At 37.6% G+C, this 20,018-nt stretch overlaps 1 protein-coding gene across 2 annotated transcripts in view; it reads right to left on the bottom strand.

Moving 5' to 3' along the window:
• The window catches only part of JADE3 (jade family PHD finger 3), a 148,942-nt gene that overhangs the window by 44,174 nt on the left and 84,750 nt on the right, over nucleotides 1–20,018 (bottom strand). For both annotated transcript variants that reach the window (NM_001077445.3, NM_014735.5), the window contains exon 4: nucleotides 18,792–18,949. In NM_001077445.3, coding sequence (NP_001070913.1) covers nucleotides 18,792–18,949 — 158 coding nt within the window. The remainder of the gene's footprint in view (nucleotides 1–18,791; nucleotides 18,950–20,018) is intronic.

The following is a 20,018-nucleotide window of genomic DNA, read 5'->3' as shown; positions in this document are numbered from 1 at the left end:
ATTTCTCCCTCATCCATTTTCAGTTACTATAGCTCGAGTAGAGTAATTCTAGCACCCAAGGATCATGTCAATTAATTTATACATATATCCAAAATTACTGCTCTAAGTCCATTAGGAAATAAGATGCTAAAGCATTTTGATAACCTTATAAATTAGTTAATAAATAAAAAGCAAGAGTGTACTTTAGTCTTATTAGTAAAGTTTCTCTAGCTGACTAATCTGTCTATAGGCAACAAAACAAGTAACTCAAGACAGGCATGGTAGCTTGTGCCTGTAGTTCCAGCTCATCACGAGGCTGAGGCGGGAGGATAGCTTGAGCCCAGGAGTTTGAATCTAGCCTGAGCAACATAGCAAGATCTGTCTCTTAAAAAAAAAAAAAAAGACAAACATTAAAAATATTATGACGTGGTAGATCAAAGACGGCCACAAATCCTTTGATATGCCTTTTATTGAGAAATGGGGCCTATTTTCCTTTCCTTCAATTTGGAAGCCCTCTGCAACTGCTCTAATAAAATATAGTGCAAGTAATACTGTGTCAGTTTCTGAGCCTAGGCTTTGAAATGAGCACCTTCCACTTCTTACCTCTTAAAACATTCACTCTTGGAGTCCTGAACTGTCTGTAAGAAGTCAGACTATCCTGCTGAGACACTAGGTGGAAAGATCCTAAGACTATATGGAAATCTGTGCAGTGTAGACCATAGCATCAACTACAGGGTTACAGTGGTGAATAAAACCAATAAGGTTCCTGTGATCTCATAGCTTTGACTTTGTAATGCCACTATCAAAGAGCAGCAGAGAAGTGCGAGGTGTTCACCAAACCCTATTTCCATTTCCACCTGCACACATAGCAAGACTGCGTTCTCCAGCCCCCTTTGCTGTTAGGTGGGCCACAGGAGTGAGTTCTGGCTAATGATATGTAGGTAGGTAAGTCACTTCAAAGCCTACCCCCGCTGCCCCCACCAGAAAAAAACCCCAACTGTATAACCCTCCACTCTTTTCATGCTGACTGGATTGAGAAGTTAGAGAGTAGAAAAGAGAATGGGTAGTAAATAAAAGCGCCATTCATAAAAAGAGCTTGTGTCCCTAAATAACTGTGTGGGGCAGAGGGGATCCACATTCAAACCCACATTGGATGGAGACATGTGCGAAAAATAAAGACTTCATTGTATTAAGATGCTGAGACTGGTTGGGTGCAGTGGCTCACGTCTGTAGTCCCAGCTACTCAGGAGGCTGAGATAGGAGGATCTCTTGAGCCTGGGAGATCGAGGCTGCAGTGAGCTATGATCATGCCACTGCACTCCAGCCCAAGTGACAGAGATCCTGTCTCAAAAAAAAAAAAAAAAAAAAAGATGCTGAGACTTTTGAGGATGTTTGCTATAACAAATGGCGTATCCCAATACATAATAATTATTTCCAAATATTTTCAAGTACATTTTAACTTAATTTACTATTGTATTACATTAGATCAATTCCTTTTTTTTTTTTTTGAGACAGTCTTGCTCTGTCACTCAGGGTGGAGTGCAGTGGCACAATCTTGGCTCACTGCAACCTCTGTTTCCCAGGTTCAAGCGATTCTCATGCCTCAGCCTCCCGAGTAGCTGGGATTACAGGCATAAGCCACCACACCCAGCTAATTTTTTTGTATTTTTGGTAGAGATGGGGTTTTACCATGTTGGCCAGGCTGGTCTCGAACTCCTGATCTCAAGCGATCCACTCACCTTGGCCTCCCAAAGTGCTGGGATTACAGGCGTGAGCCACCACACCCGGCCAGATTCATTCTTAAATTTCTCTAACAGATTTACATTTTGTAATATTTTCTCCATAGAAGTGAGATTTCCATCAGCAGAAACTAACCAATTGGGTTTTAATTTTACCAAAACTAATATGAAGTAGCAAGCCCAAAATAATATATTCATAATTTTTTGTTTTTACATTCTGATACTTTCCACATGTTATTGTGAATTGCTATAACATTCTTTATTAAAAACCTTCAGTGCAGAATTAAGGAATGTCATCATGCTTTCAATGCACTCTGACTTACAATTTTTAAAATTTGGAAGGTGGAGATAATTTTTACAATTCAACAATTATTAACATAGTAATACATAATCACTGAAGATAAGAGTTTTAAATCTAAAAATAATTATTGCAAGGGTTTGTTATAGAACACTTACATTTATTTAAACTTGGCAATTACATTGGAAGAGAACATTTTTATTTATGGTTTTTGAGAATAAAGCTATTTTTAATTTCAAAAACTGTTTAAAATACACAAAAGGAAAACTAACACAAAAGTTATAAAATTAACCAATAAAAATTAACATAATGCTGTTTTGTCATGTAGGGTGGGAAAACAGTAACATATAAGAGGTCTTCAAAAAGTTCATGGAAAATAAAAAACTATATGTAGATTTCAAAAATTTACACAAAAATAAATTCATACTAACTTTTACAGGCACTAAGAAGGATAAGACATCAGTTTGAAAAGGGCCCCTATTAGAGCAATAGGAATTTGGCTAAAACTGAAGCAAGAACAAACATCAAATTTATGGTGAAATCTGGGTAGAAGAAAGGAGAAATCGCTGTTTTACAAAAAGTTCATGGGGACAATGCCCCAAAGAAATCAGCAGTTTACAAATGGATAGCTTGTTTTAAGAAGGGAAGAGACAAAGTTGAAGATAAAGCCCACATTCACATCATTTTTACATCTCATCAATTTGCAAGGAAAAAATTCATCTTGTTCATGCCCTAATTAAAGAGGACTGATGATTAACAGCACAAACAACAGCCAACACCACAGACATCTCAACTGGTTCAGCATACAGTCACAGTTCTTCAGTCACAATTCTGACTGAAAAATTAAAGTTAAGCAAACCTTTCACTCAATGGGTGCTGAAACTGGTTACAGCCAGATCAGCTACAGACAAGTGCAGAGCTTTCAATGGAAATTTTAAACAAGTGGGATCAAGATCCTGAAGCATTTCTTTGAAGAATTATAATAGGAGATGAAACATGGCTTTATGAGTACAATCCTGAAGACAAAGCACATTCAAAACAATGGCTACCAAGAGGCGGCAGTGGCCCAGTCAAAGCAAAAGTGGGTCAGTCAAGAGTAAAGGTCATGGCAACAGTTTTTGGGGATGTTCAAGGCATTTTGCTTGTTGACTTTTTGGAGGGCCAAAGAATGATAACATCTGCTTATTATGAGTGTTTTGAGAGAGTTAGCCAAAGCTTTACAGAAAACTGCTCAAGAAAGCTTTACCAGAACGTCTTTTGCTATCACAACAATGCTCCAGTTCATTCTTCTCATCAAACAAGAGTAATTTTGTGAGAGTTTCAATGGGAAATCATTAAGCATCCACCTTACGGTCCTGTTTTGCCTCCTTCTGACTTCTTTTTGTGTCCTAATATTAAAAAATCTTTAAGGGTACCCATTTTCCTTCAGTTAATAATGCAAAAAAGACTGCACTGACATGGTTAAATTCCCAGGACGCTCAGTTCTCTAGGGAAGAACTAAATGGCTGGTATCATTGCTTACAAAAGTGTCTTGACCTTGATGGAGCTTACGTTGAGAAATGAAGTTTATATTTTTAATTTTCATCACTTAATTCCATTATTCCATTAACTTTTAAAAAGTTCCCTTATATTTGGACAGAGTGAAGCATAAAGTACAGAAATTAGCATCTCAAACTAGATAAAAAAATTTTAAGTCACTTTGGTAGATCTGTGAAACAGGAGATTAAAAAAATAAAACTGGCTGGGTGCAGTGGCTCATGTTTGTAATCTTAGCACTTTGGGAAGCCAAGATGGGATAACTGCTTGAGGCCAGGAGTTTGAGACCAGCCTGGGCAACATAGCGAGATCCCATCTCTAAAAAAATAATAAAAAATAACTGGGTACAGTGGCATGTGCCTGTAGTCCCAACTAATTGGGGAGGCTAAGGCAGGAGGATTGCTTGAGCCCAGGAGTTCAAGATTACAGTGAGCTATGATTGTGCCACTGCATTCCAGGCTGGGCAACAGAGAACGAGACGCTGTCTCTGAAAAAAGAACTAAGATTTCAAAATATAAAACTAGGATTTCTTGCTAATTCAATAACTATGCTTTCTTTCATAGCAGCCTGACTTATAAGGAATACATGGAACCAAGGTAGGTGGGTTTGGGGTACAGTGTTCATCATTTTCAAAAAGGAAGCTACCCAACAAATGGTGTTGTGACAACTAGATATCCACACATAAAAAAAAATGAACTTGGACCCCTAATACCTCAAGCCAGATACAAAAATGAATTCAAATGGATCAAAGACCTAAATGTAATAGCCAAACTATAAAATTCTTAGAAGAAAATATAGGTATAAAACTTCTTGACCTTGGCTTAGGCAATATTTGCTATTTCTTGGATATAACATCAAAAGGACAAGCAACAACAACAACAACAAAAAAAAAAACAGATAAACTGGACTTCATCACAATTAAAAACTTTTTTTTTTGAGGCAGGGTCTCACTCTGTCACCCAGGCTGGAGTGCAGTGGTGTGATCATAGGTCACTGCAGCCTTAAACTCCTGGGCTCAAGCAATCCTTCCACGTAAGTCTCTTGAACAGCTGGGACTATAGGTATGCGCCACCATGGCTAGCTAATTTTTTATTTTTTGTAGAGATGAGGACTTGCTATGTTGCCTAGTATGGCCTTGAGATCCTGGTTTCAAGCCATCCTCCCACCTCAGCCTCCCAAAGTGTTGGGATTACAGGTGTGAGTCACTGCACCTGGCCCAAAATTAAAAACTGTCGTTCCTCAAAGGACACCATGAGGAAAGTAAAAAGAGAATCAATAGAATGGGAGAAAATATTTGCAAATCATATTTCTGATAAGAGACTTGTATCCAGAATATGTAAAGAACTCTTATGACTCAATAAAAAGACTGCCCGTTTAAAAAAATTGAGTTAAGGATCTGAATAATTTCTCCAAAGACAACATAGGAGGTGTGCATGGATGCAGTATTAAAAAATGGGACATTCTAGAACACTGATGGTCAGGGAACTTTGCTGCCCTATTCATTAAAGGGTCAGATTTTCAGCAGCCAAGGACATACATACTCAAATGAATGTGATGGGACTTAAGACGACTCATTCTGGCTGTGTGAACAGCAGCATTTCATAGAAGACAAAGATAAAATCTTGTGTTTTCTGACCTCATAAAGGCTTTTTTGTGTGATAAAGTAGAAAAGGTCTCTTCAAAAGATATATAAATGGCTAAGAAGGACATCGAGAAAAGCTGTTCAACATCATTAGCCATTAGACAAATGCAAATCATAATCACAGTGAAATACACTTCATACCCACTAGAAAGGCTATAACAAAAAGACAGACAATAACAAGTATTGGTGAGGATGTGGAGAAAATGTAACCTTCACACATTACTGACAGGAATGTAAAATGTTGCAGATGCTATAAAAAATAGTTTGACAATTCCTCAAAATGTTAAAGATAGAGTTACCATATGACTCAATAATTCTATTCCTAGGTATGTACCCAAGAGAAATGAAAACATATGTGCACTCAAAAACCTGTATGAATTTTCTTCTAGAGGACCTGATTAAAATTTAAAAAAAAACTGTATGAGGATGTTTATAGCACCATTATTCGTAACAGCCCATATGTGGAAACAACCCAAATATCCATCAACTGCTGAAAGGATTAACAAAATGTGGTGTATCCATATAACAGAATATTATTTGGTCATAAAAGTAATGAATACTGATACATATAACACGGATGAACTTCCAAAACATTATGCTACATGAAAAAAGTCAGACTCAAAATGCCATACATTGTATGATTCCATTTATATGAAATGTCCAGAGTGGGCAGTTCCATAAGAACAGAAAGCAGACTAGTGGTTGTTATGAACTCAATAGGCCCTTCTCAAATTCATGTTGAAGACCTAACCCATGATGTGACTTTATTTGGAGACAGGGCCTATAAGTAGGTAATAAAGGTTATGAGAGGTCATAAGGATGGGGCCTTAGTCTGATAGGGCTGGTGTCCTTAGAAGGAGACACCCCAGAGCTCCACCCCCACAAACTGTGCACGTACAGAAGAAAGGCCATGTGAGGACACAGTGAGAAGGTGGCTGTTTACACACTAGGAAGAGAGGCCTCACCAGACGTCAACCCTGATGACACCTTGATCTTGGATTTCTAGACTCTAGAACTATGAAAAAATAATTTTTTTTTGAGAGAGAAAGAGAGGGAGAGAGAGAGAAAGAGAAACGTCTGAAAAAGTCCAAATTTTTGTTCTTTAAGCCACCCAGTCTGTGGTATTTTGTTATGGCAGCCCTAGCAGACTAATACAGTGGTTGCCAGGGGCTGGGGGAAGCGGAGAATGACTAGTAACTGCTAACAGATGTGGGATTTCTTTCTAGGGTGATAAAAACGTTTTGGAATTACACAGGGATGATGATTGTATAACTCTGTGAATATACTAAAAACCACCATATAATTTAAAAGGGTGAATTTTATGGTATGTGAATTCTATCTTGATTTAAAAATTTACATGGCCGGGCGCGGTGGCTCACGCCTGTAATCCCAGCCAAGCCAGGCGGATCACCTGAGGTCGGGAGTTCGAGACCAGCCTGACCAACATGGAGAAACCCTGTCTCTACTAAAACTACAAAATTAGCCAGTTGTGGTGGCACATGCCTGTAATCTCAGCTACTCGGGAGGCTGAGGCAGGAGAATCGGTTGAACTGGGGAGACGGAGGTTGTGGTGAGCCTAGATCGCACCATTGCACTCCAGCCTGGGCAACAAGAGCGAAACTCCGTCTCAAAATAAATAAATAAAAATAAAAATTTATAATAGGTGAATTATCTCACTTAAAAAAATCTAAGAAAAGCAAGCTGCACATTTATGAAAACCACAGAGGTCATGTGACAAACTTAAAACTTGATCTGACTGAGGAACTTAGTAAAATTTCCCTACCTCCCATTCCCCTATTTTGATTTAAAACATCACTTATTAGTTGTAATGTTATGTCTACTTACATTAAACTCTTTCAATCAAGCACTTGAGAAAGTGAAAAAATCTTTTTTTTTTTTGAGATGCCCGGCCAAAAAAATCTTTTTATTTTAGTATAAGAAAGGCAAGTGGGCCAGGCATAGTGGTTCACACCTGTAATCCCGGTATTTTGGGAGGCCGAGGTGGGAGAATTGCTTGAGCCTGGGAGTTCGAGACCAGCCTGGGCAACACAAGGAGATCCCATCTCTACAAAAGATACAAAAATTAGCCAGGTACGGTGGTGTGCGCCTGTAGTCCTAGCTACTTGGAAGGCTGAGGTGAGAGGATCCCTTGAACCTGGGAGGTCGAGGCTGCAGTGAGCTGTGATTGTGCCACCATGCTCCAGCCTGGGCAAGAGAGTAAGATCCTGTCTCAAAAATGAAAAGAAAAAAAAAAAAAAGAAAGGAATGCAAATGGTGAAAATGGAAGGCTTAGTTTCCTCCTGTTCTCATCTTTGTTTTTCTGACTTATATTTTGGCCCTTCTCAAATTTTCTTAATTAACATCCACCATTTTCCTCTTTGTTTTCTTTTCCTATTCTCCTTACAACACATATTTACTGAAAACCTTTTTATCTGAACAGTAGGGGTTCTGCCCTTAGGTAGTTTACAGTCACATCTTGTCTTTCTCCTTTTCTAACCACCCATGATTGTGTCTTCATGTAGCCACTATCACATTTCTTTTTGAGACAGGGTCTTGCTCTGTTATCTAGGCTGGAGTGTAGTGGTACTCTCTGCAGCCTGCAGTGGCTCACTGCAGCCTCAACCTCCTAGGCTCAAGCGATCCTTCCAACTCGGCCTCCCGAGCAGCTCCACTACAGGCGCATGCCACCATGCCCAGCTAATTTTTTTACTTTTTGTAGAGACGAGGTCTCACTATGTTGCCCAAGCTGGTCTTGAACTCCTGGGCTCAAGTAATCCTCCCGCCTTGGCTTCCCAAAGTGCTGGGATTACAGGTGTGAGCCACTACACTCGACCCCACTATCACATTTTCTTACCCATCTATACATATACTCATCTCTACTTGTGATGATTGTTCATATACTTATAATGTATCTATGTGTATATATGAATATAAAAGTATTATATTCATCATATACATGATTTGGGTATACAATAAACTGTATATATCTTAAATGTATAAAGTTTTGACACACACATCTACATACATTTGTACAACTAGCATCACAACCAAGATAATGTGTCCATCACCCCCAAAAGTTTCCTTGTATCCTCCTGCTTCCCTGTCTCCTCCCAGAAAACCAATGATCTGCTTTCTGTCACTAAAGATTACAGATAGTCCTTGCTTTGCATGGTGGTATGATACTGTAAAAATGACTGTGCAAGCTAAAACTGTGAAAAGCAATCTTAATAAACAATGGGGAAAACTGTCATTAATGACCTTTAAAAATTTTGTCAAAACATTAAAAAGCTATCTTCCCATTGACTATAAACATATAGTGAAATAAAAAATAATAAAACCAATATGTATTTAATATAATATAATTTGAAACACTAGAAACATTGAGAATTACACTTTTATTTATTTGTAAAAACTTATCAAGATTACAATGCTTAACTCCTTTTCATTGCATAACTTACAACATGGAGCAAGCACCTTTTCTACCCCTTGGCAAATTGTCATATTCCCTTCTAAGTGTGGATTAGTTTTCAACATTTTGTTCTTTGTACCTTCAATGTTGTAAAATACTTCCAAGAATTCCTTTAATGTGCACTTTTTCACTAGTATCACTTCCTCTGGGACATCTTCATTCTTTTCACCATAACCATTTTCTTCATTTATGTTGATAAGTTTGCCTTCACTAAGTTCTTTTTGGCTGTAAACCTAGAGCTTCTAAAACAGCAGCATATCCCCATATTCCCATGGTTAGCTATTTCTTTTATAACTCTATTCATCTTTGATTCAAATTTCTCTTCTACTGTTATCACTTGTTATTTCTTTCAATGTTTGGTAGAATTCTCAGTGAAACCATCTGGGCCTGGAGGTATTTTTAGGGGAAGTTTTTAATTACAAATTCAATGTTACTAATAGCTTTGGGGCTATTCAAATGATCTATTTCACATGGATCGAGTTTGGTAGTTTGTTCAGGGAACCTCCAAGGAAGGTAGGAAAAATAAAACAGAGAAATGAAAAACAGAGAACACACACACACACACACACACACACACACACACACACACACACACACAAAATAAAAGGACACGCTGAAGTCCTAACATATTAATAATTGCATCAAATATAAGTGGTCTAAACCAATTAAAAGACAGATTGATACAGCAGATTTAAAAATATGATCCAAATATATGCTGTCTAAATAAAACATACTTAAAATATAAGGATATAAGTAGGTTGAAAGTAAAATAATGGAGAAAGACATATGATGCAAACATCACTCAAAAGAAAGCAAAAGTGACTATACTAACATCAGATAAAGTAGACTGCATAGTAAAGAAAATTACCAGAGATGAAGAGGAATATTATATAATGATAAAAGTGTCATCAAGAAGACATAGCAATCATAAATGTGTGTGCACCAAACAACAGTGCTCCAAAACGTGAAGCAAAAATGAACTGAACTCAAAGTGGAAATGGACAAATCCATGATTATAGCTATAGACCTCAACCTCTCTCAATAATTGATAGAACCAACAAACAGAAAATCAACAAGGGTACAGAAGAACTCAACACTACCACCAACTAACAGAGTTGAACGAATTGACATTTATGGAATACTCTACCCAACAAGAGCAGCATACACTTATTTTTAAGCACCCATGGAACATGTACCATGACAGACCATATCCTGGGCCATAAAATAAACCTCAACAAATTTAAATAACTGGAATTATATAGAGTGTGTTTTCTGATCACAGTGGAATCAAAACTAGAAACTGGCCACGCGCAGTGGCTCACACCCATAATCCCAGCACTTTGGGAGGTCAAGGTGGGAGGATTGCTTGAGCCCAGGAGTTCGAGACCAGCCTGGACAATATAGTGAGATCTCATCTCTTAAAAGAAAAGAAAAAAAAAAAGAAAACTAGAAATCAGCAACAGAAAGATAACAAGAAAACCTCCAAACACCTGGAAACCAAAAATCACACTTTGAAATAATCCATGGGTGAAAGAAGAAATTTCAAGAGAAGTTAAAAAAATATATACTTAAGAGAACGAAAATGAAATTCAACATATCAAAATTTATGAGACACAGTTAAAGCAGGTGCTGAGAGGAAAATTTATAGTACTACATGCTTACATTAGATAAGAGAAACAGCTTCAAATCAATAAATTAAGTTCTCAACACTAGAAACGAGAAAAAAGCAAAATAAACCCAAAGTAAGCAGAAGGATAAAAATAATAAAGACCAGGAATCAATGAGATTAAAAACAGAAAAGTAATGGGCTGGGCGCATTGGCTCACACTTGTAATCCCAGCACTTTGGGAGGCCGAGGTGGTCGGATTGCTTGAGCCCGGGAGTTCAAGACCAGCCTGGGCAACATGGCGAAACCCCTGTCTCTAAAAAAAAAAAAAAAAAAAAAACTACAAAAATTAGCCTGGCGTGGTGGCATGCGCCTGTAGTCCCAGCTACTTAGGAGGCTGAGGCAGGAGGATCACTTGAGCCCAAAAGGTCCAGGCTGTAGTGAGCTGTGATCATGCCACTGTACTCCAGCGTGAGTGACAGAGTAAGACCCTGTCTCTAAAAACAAACAAAAATAAGAAGAGTGTTCTGTGAAATGATCAAGATAACTGACCAACCTATAGCAAGAAAAAAAGATAATACAAAAATTGCCAATAATAGGAATGAAAGAGGGATACTATTTTTTTTTAACTTATTTCAAGTATGTTCACAATTGTTCACTGAAGCATTTTTATGTTGGCTGTTTTAAAATCTTCGTTAAACTATTCTAATATCTGGCATCTTGATGTCGGCATCTGTCTTTGGTCAAGTTGAGACCTTCCTGATTCTTGATGAGTAATTTTTTACTAAAACCTAGACATTTGGGGCATTATGAGACTCTGGATCTTATGCAAACCTTCGATTTTGGCTGGCTTCCTATGACACTATCTGGCTGGAGATCAGGGTTGGGGGCATTGCCTTGTTACCACCAGGTGGTTGTATAAGACCTAGTTCACCATTTGGCCTGTGTCAACATCCCTGTTACTGTTGGGTGGGGCTGAGAGTTTCAGCCCCCCACTAGGCTTCCATGGATACCTCCATCACTGGGATTGGTGAGAATGCCTTGCTATTGTTTCCTGCATGGCCTCCACTGACACTGCTGAACAGAGGTGAAAATCCTGACTGTCCACTCAGTCTCCTCTAACACAACCCCAAATGGGGTACATCATTGCTGTCTAGGCTCCCTACTCCATCTTTGCTGGAGAAGGTTGGGGTGGCCCAAAGTATTTTTCTGTGGTGTTTGACTGGAGAAGAGTTTTCTGTCTAAAAGTTTTCCATGTTGGCCAGGCACAGTGATTGACACCTGTAATCCCAGCCCTTTGGGAGGCCGAAGTGGGTGGATCACTTGAGGTCAAGAGTTTGAGACCAGCCCGGCCAACGTGGTGAAACCCCACCTCTACTAAAAATACAAAAATTAGCTGGGTGTGATGGTGTGCACCTGCAATCCCAGCTACTTGGGAGGCTGAGGCAGGAGAATCATTTTAACCAGGGAGGCGAAGGTTGCAGTAAGCAGAGATGGCACCATTGCACTCCAGCCTGGGCGACAGAGATTCAGTCTCAAAAAAATAATAAAATAATAAAAAAAAGGTTTCCTGTCTGATAGGCGGTCCCTTTCCTGGTCATTTGGCTAGAGAGGACAGGCTTTTCTTAGTTTTTGTTTTTTGTTTTTGCTGGTTTGTGCTTCTGGGTTGCTAGCTTCTCCAGCACCAACTCTGGGAACAAAAAGAAATCCCAGGGAACATAAAACTGGGTTGTTCCTCAGGTCTCAAGGACTCTAGCTGTTCTGCTTTCTTCTCCTGATCTTTCAAAGTCTTATGTTTGCATTATATAAAATGCTCAGGGTTTTTAATTGTACTTAGTGGGAGGCATAGGGAAAAGCATACCTACTCCATCTTTTTGGAAGTAGAAGTCTAGCCAAGATTGAATTTTAAAATGAAAGCAACACAGGGAATACTATGAGCCATTCTATACATGTAAATTCAACAACTTAGATGAAACAAACCAGTACCTTAAACTACAAACTAACCAAAGTCACTCAACATGAAATAGTTACAGGGCTATTCAAATTATCTATTAAAGGACTCAAATTTGCCATGTGCAGTGGCTCACGCCCGTAATCCCAACATTTTGGTAGGCTGAGGCGGGAGGATCACTTGAGCCCAGGAGTTTCAGACCAGACTGGCCAACATAGGAAGACTTCATCTCTACAAAAAATTCTTAAAAAATTAGCCGCATATGGCGGCACAGGCCTGTGGTCCCAGCTCTTGGGAGGCTGAGGTGGGAAGATTGCTTGGGCTTAGGAGGTTGAGGCTGCAGTGAGCCGTGATTGTGCCATTTCACTGCAGCCTGGGTGACAGAGCAAGGCCTCAAACAAACAAACAAAAAAAAGAACTCAAATTTATACTTAAGCAAATCCCCAAAGAGAAGCCTCCAGGTCTGGAGTGTTTCATTGGAGAATTCCATCAAACATTTTAATAAGAATTAACCCCAGTTCTATACCATTTCTTCCAAAAACTAGAAGAGGAAGGAATATTTCCCAACTAATTTTATAAGACCAGTACTACCCTGATACAATACAGATATAAATATCATGAGAGGTTGGGTGCACTGGCTCCTGCCTGTAATCCCAGCACTTTGGGAGGCCAATGCTGGAGGGCTGCTTGAGGTCAGGAGCTTGAGACCAGCCTGGGCAACATGGTGAAACCCTGTCTCTACAAAAAATACAAAAATCAGCTGGGCGTGGCGATGAACACTTGTAATCCCAGCTACTCAGGAGGCTGAGGCAGGAGGATCACTTGAGCCTAGGAGGTGGAAGTTGTACTGAGCTTGAGGTGGTGCCACTGCACTCCAGCCTGGGCAACAGAGCGAGACCCTGTCTCTCACATTATTTATATATATAAATAATTTATAAATTTATATATATAATAAATTTATATATAAAAATATAAATATATAAAAATAAATTTATATATATAAATTTATAAATATATATAAATTTATAATTTTGGTGTATGTCACCAAAATTATATATAAAACATATATAAATTATATATAATTATTTTATATATAAATTATATATAAATTACAAATTTAATTATAATTTGTAATTTTTATATATACATTAATTATATATAACATATACATTAATTATAATATATAATTAATATATATATAAATTTATATCTATATAAATATATAAATTTATATATATACATTAATTATATATAATTATTTTTATATATATAAGACTACAGGTCAATATTCCTCGGGAACATAAAAATAAGACATAAAAATACATAGACATAAAAATTTCCAACAAGATATTTGCAAGTCAAATCAAGCAGTATAAAAATATAATATAATCCCTGATCAACTTGGTGTTATGGACTGAATTGTGTCACCCCCAAAATTTAACCCCCAATGTGACTGTATTTGGAGACAAGGCCTACAGGAGGTAATTAAGCTTAAATAAGGTCATAAGGGAAAGGCCATGTGAGCACACAGTGAGAAGGTAGCAAGCAAGGAAGAGAGCCCTCACCAAAACTGAACTCTGCAAGACCTTGATCTAGGACTTTCAGACTCCAGAACTTTGAGAAATAAATTTCTGTTGTTTAAGCTATCCAGCCTGTGATATTTTGTTATGGCAGCCCAAGCTGACTAATACTCAGGTTTGCTCAAGCAATGCAAGGCTTGTTCAATATTAAAAAAAATCAATCAATGTAATCTATAACATTAACAGGCTGAAGAAGAAAAAAAATCACCTGATCATATCATTTGATAGGGATCATTTCAGTTGACAAAATTCAATACCCATTTATGAAAAAAACTACCACACATTAGGAGTAGAGGTGAACTTCCTCAACTTGACAAAGAATATCTATGAAAAACCCTATAGTTAATATCATACTTAATATATTGAAAGACTGAAAGCCTTCCGCCTAAGATTGGGAACAAGACAATGATGTCTGCTCTCTCCACTGCTATTTGACATACTACAAGACATTTTAGCTACTAGAATAAGGCAAGAAAAGAAATAAAAAGTAAACAGATTGGAAAGGAAGAAATAAAACCATCTTTATTTGCAGGTAACATGATGGTCTACACAGAAAATCCTAAGGAACCTCTTTTTTTTTTTTTTTTTTAAATAAAACTGCCAGAACTAAGTAATTCAGCAGGGTTATAGAAAACACAACATCAACACACAAAAATTGGTTGTATTTGTATGTACTAGCAATGACCATGTGGAAACCTAAATTATAAATATAATACCATTAACAACTGCTCAAAAAATTTTAACACTTAAGCATAAATTTAGCAAAATGTGTACAGGACTTGTACAGATGTCAATTCTTCCCAAGTGATAAAGGTTTAATATAATCCTTATGAAAATCCAGCAAGATTTTTTGTACATATGGAAAGCTTATTATAAAATTTGAATGGAAAGACAAAGAAAGTGGAATAGCCACAGCAATTTTGAAAAATGAATAAAGTGGGAAGAATCAACTTACCTGATTTTGAACTTTGATCTATGCCTCATATCTTACACAAAATTAATTCAAAATGGTTCACGCATTTAAATGTAAAACTATAAAACTCTTAAAAGAAAACATAGAAGAATATTTTTGAGACATAGAGCTAAGTGAAAAGTTCACAGCATGACATTAAAAGCATGATCCAGAAGAAAAAAAAAATCAATAAATTGAACTTCATCAAAATCACAAACTTATACTTTGTGAACGACCCTCTTAACTGGACGAAAAGTCAATCTATAAATAGACTGGGAGAAAATATTTGCAAACCACATATTTGACAATGGATTCATATCTCAAATTTATAAGTAATTCTCAACACTCAATAGTAAAAAAACAAAGAATCTGATTAGAAAACAGGCAAAAGACAAAGATATATTTCACTGAAAAGGGTATATGGATGGCAAATAGAAAGCTCTGCCAAAAAACCTTAAGACTAGTTCCTAGTTAAAAGGCAAGTCTGAGAGTAACTTCATACCATGGGGTATCTAAATAGGCCTGAATTTATATAGTACTTAAAAATGTTAATTGAAGTCATTTGATTTTGAAAATCTGTTGAAGGACATGAAAACAAATTATTTATTAATGTTCCAATATAATTTCATATCACAAAGATTTAATTTTTAAGGTGACTTACAAAATTCAGAAAGTAAAAATCACAAGACATAGTTTGACCCATGCAAAATGATGATAGTTAAGGGTTGCTGTGATAAGCAGCTGTGGTTGAGGAAATTAGGTACTCCAAACAAAGTTTAGGTACTCCAACCAAATCCTAAATAGGTTGAGCCTCCAATATGGCTGGCTTATATTGAAAGCCAAAAGAGAAATCCAAGGAAGATGATAAAAGTATGGAGATTTCCATTAAATTCAGGAAATGAGATAAACATATTTCATAACAAAATTGTTCTCAAAGTGTCATCCCCAGACTAGTGGCATCAGTATCATGTCAGGAGTTGTTAGAAATGCAAATTCTCAGACCTCACACCTCAGATCTACTGAATCAAAAACTAGGGGTGAGGTTAAGAAATCTGTTCTAACAAGCCCTCCAAATGATTCTGATGCACCCTAAAATTTGAGAATTACTGTTCCATAGGAAAGGCTACATACTACAGTACAAGTCTTATTGATATTTTCTAAAAAACAGAAACTGATATACCTACCAAGAGCAACCAGTTAAGGATTTCATTAAGGAATTCAATATGATCAATAATTTAATAGTCTGCCTTGTTGTTCCATTAAAATTAAGAGTTTCGTATGATAGGCAAAGAACTATGGGAAACAGAAGAGATTTACCAACAATTCACAGCACTTATAATGGTAAATATGTGAAGCCCTCGGAACAAATAATAGAGCACTGAAGCCACACATGAATTAGGAACGCACATCCCTATATTTGAAAACAAGTTAAACTCTTTTAGTTTCTAAAATTACTGTTGTTCTTAGGCTGAGGGCGGGGGCTCACACATTTAATTCTAGCACTTGGGAGGCCAAGGCGGACAAATTACTCGAGGCTAGGAGTTTGAGACCAGCCTGGCCAACATGGTGAAACCCCGTCTCTATTAAAAATACAAAAATATCCAGGCATGGTGGCACATGCCTGTAACCCCAGCTATTCAAGTGGCTGAGGCATGAGAATCACTTGAACTCAGGAGGCGGAGGTTGCAGTGAGCTGACAACATGCCACTGCACTCCAGCCTGAGTGACAGAGCGAGACCCTATCTCAAAAAATTAAAAAAATGAAAATAAATTACTGTTCTTAAACTGTTGCTCCATTCTTGCTACCCTACTTACCCATGGCTCACTTATCAGATAACATTTTTAAAGTGGTACAGGGGACATTTTCCACTCAACCTAAAAGATTAAAATCACCTCCAATAAGTAGATAATTGATACTGACTTACCAACGAGACTAAAGTCAAGATGCTAGTCACACTCAATAATCCTCGGAGTATCAATGGAATGGTGATGGTCAACTCAGCACCAGGGCTGCTATATTTGTATAAAAATACTGACAACAAGGACATGAAAACACTCAACTCATATGTTCATTCATGATGCTACTCTGATTTTTAGGGGGCAGGAGATGGTGTTGATGATGAACCAGTGAGTTTTGGGACATGTGCTGAGCAAGGCTGTGGAGCTTTCCTTAACAGAGCATAGGCAGCCTCTCTGTGGGTAGGACAGCCTCTGTGGGTAGGACAGCCTGGGTTTCTAGAAATGATTCCAACAAGCATTTCTGGAGCATGACTAGGTCTTAAAAACCTAGTACTAGGAGCAGAGAATTCAAGGATGTTATCTCTGCCCTTAAAAAAATCTAATATGTAACAGAAATTGATGGGTGTACAATAAGATCTGCAATTTCTCACAGTAACCAGTAGGTCCCACTAGCCCCTTTATTTGGCACTCTACATTCTACCCATTCATTCATTCACTCAAACTTTTACTCAGCATTTTGTTTAATGCCAACCTTTGTGTAAAGTATTGGAAACACAAAGACCAGAAAGAAAAAATGGCTTCCAAAACCAGTCGCTACTCTTTAACTGAACTTATTACTTATTACTTCCTCTGGCAGAAAAGTCCTTCTCTCCTCTTTCTAAAACCAAAGCCCTCTCCTATTTCAATTTTCTTCTCAGGTCTAATGCAAATGAAGGCCATGTGCTTAGAGTCAACTCAATCATTCAGTAATCCCCTTTTATTTGGGTTTATGCATTTACAAACTCTATGTTTTTGGCCCTCTATTTACAGGTACCATTACTCTATGTTTTTGACCCTCTATTTATAGATACCATTACTTTAAGACCCTATTTTATATATATATATGTTATATATGTATATATATGTTATATATATATATATATGTTATATATGTATATATATGTTATATATATATATATAAAACTTCCCACAGGTGTTTCTATAGTTTGAATGTGTCACCAAAAGTTTGTGTATTGGAACCTTAATTCCCAATGTGATGGTGTTGGGAGGTGGGGTCTTTAAGAGATAATTGGGTATTGAGGGTGGAGTGCTCATGAATTGACTAATGCTGTTATAGCAGCAGTTAGTTCTTGTGGGAATGAGTTCCTGCAGGAGTGAATTAATTCTCACAAGAGTGGGTCATCATAAAAGTGAGCTTGGCTCACTCTTGTGATCTCTTAAACACATGTTCACTTGTCCTTCTTCTTTTCTCACATGTTATAACACAGTATAAAAGCCCTTCAGAAGCTGCTGCCATGCCCTTGGACTTCCCAGTCTTTAGAACTGTGAGCCAAATATTTCTTTATAAATTATACAGACTCGGCCAGGCGCGGTGGCTCAGGCCTGTAATCCCAGCACTTTGGGAGGCCAAGGTGGGCAGATCATGAAGTCAGGAGTTCAAGAACGGCCTGGCCAGCATGATGAAACCCTGTCTCTATTAAAACAAATACCAAAAAAATTAGCTGGGCAAGGTGGTGCACGCCTGTAATTCCAACTACTTGGGAGGGTAAGGCAGGAGAATCTCTTGAACCCGGGAGGCAGAGGTTGCAGTGAGCCAAGATGGTGCCACTGCACTCCAGCCTGGGTGACAGAGTAAGACTCCATCTCAAAATAAATAAACAAACAAACAAACAAATAAATAAATAAAACAGACTCAGGTATTGTTATAACAACAGTAAACAGACTAAGACAGGCATTATGTAATTAATTCTGTTTCTCTCAGAAGACTAATAAATGCTACTGACTGTTGAGTCAAGACTTGGAAATTCTTGTCTCCAAAATTTTATCATAATTTCAGATTGGACTTCAAATGGTTTTATCCTATGAATAATGGGCACATACTATGTCCCTAAATACATGAGCCTGACTTTATTGCTTATTATAGCCTGGTAAAATCTGCCACTGGTCTGAGTGAATTGGTGAAAATGGTATGTGACTTTGTACTATAAATGCATAATTAGCCACTCTAAGTTTCTCCCCAAGCAGCAGACAAACATGAGAGCATTCATTCCCTAAGTCAAAGGTGCAAGCATGCAAATACCTGAGAGAAGGCTGTGGAACGGTGTCTGGACTGGCTGGTACCTGGACTCCCTTTTCCCATTCTTCCTTCCATGTATCAGCAAAGAGGTAATAGCTATCAGGATTAATGTGGTGAGAATCTGGAAGTTTCATGGCACTGATGAGGTCCTTCCGGAATACCTGGAAAGATATTGCACATATCTTGAGAAGACCATCACTATGCAACTGATACCATTCAATGTTCTCCTTTTAAAAAGACCATCCCCATCCACTCTGCTTCCAACAAGAGAAACATCTCTAACTTCCTAAATGGCCAGATCAACTTCTGTTTGGAAAGGTTTGAAGTACTGACAAGGAAGCCAGCTTATTTGGGATTTAATAAAGGGTAATGCAGTCCTTCCTGAATTATTTTCTTGGGTTCTCTAAATTTAAACCAACAATACAGGTTACTCAAAACAGTTTGTATAAAACAATCCTTAACTTTCTTAAATTAAGTAACAAGTATCCACTGATAGTTAATAATTATTTGGGCATCATTTCATTTTAAAATTTATTTAGAAATAATTTTAGACTTAAAGAAAAGTTATCAAATAGTAAAGTTTCCATATATCCTTCACTTAGTTTCCTCTAATTGTTTACAGTTTATATAACCAGAGTTCAATTACCTAAACCAGGAAAGTAGCAATGCTATAATACTATTAACTAATGTATAGAATTCATTCAAATTTTCACTATTTTTCTCCCTAATGTCTTTCTGTTCCAGAATTTAATTTTATTTTTTTGAGACAGGGTCTCACTATGTTACCTAGGCTGGAGTGCGATAGCGTGACTTTGGCTCACTGCAACCTCTGCCTCCCAGGCTCAAGCGATCCTCCCACCTCAGCCTCCTGAGTAGCTGGGACTACAGGCACATACCACCATGCCCAGCTAATTTTTGTAATTTTTTTTTTTGTAATTTTTGTAGAGGCAGGGTTTCGACAGGTTGCCCAGGCTGGTCTCAAACTGCTAAACTCAAGTGATCTGCCCGCCTTGGCCTCTCAAAGTGCTGGGATTATAGGCGTGAGGCACGGTGCCTGGCCTCAGAGTATCTTTAATGAGGCAGTGGTTAAGTAGTGGTGGCAATTTCCAATTTGCTAAACTACTATCTTTGGGAAAGATGGTGCTGTGGGAAATCCTTCCTTAGTTCTGGAAAGTATGTGTCAACATCCTAAAATATTTCATTATTTTCCAAGTGATAGTCTTTATAAAA

The sequence above is a fragment of the Homo sapiens genome, chromosome X (assembly GCF_000001405.40).
Source record: "Homo sapiens chromosome X, GRCh38.p14 Primary Assembly".
Classification (NCBI taxonomy): domain Eukaryota; kingdom Metazoa; phylum Chordata; class Mammalia; order Primates; family Hominidae; genus Homo; species Homo sapiens.
This window is presented reverse-complemented; position numbering and strand designations above follow the sequence as displayed.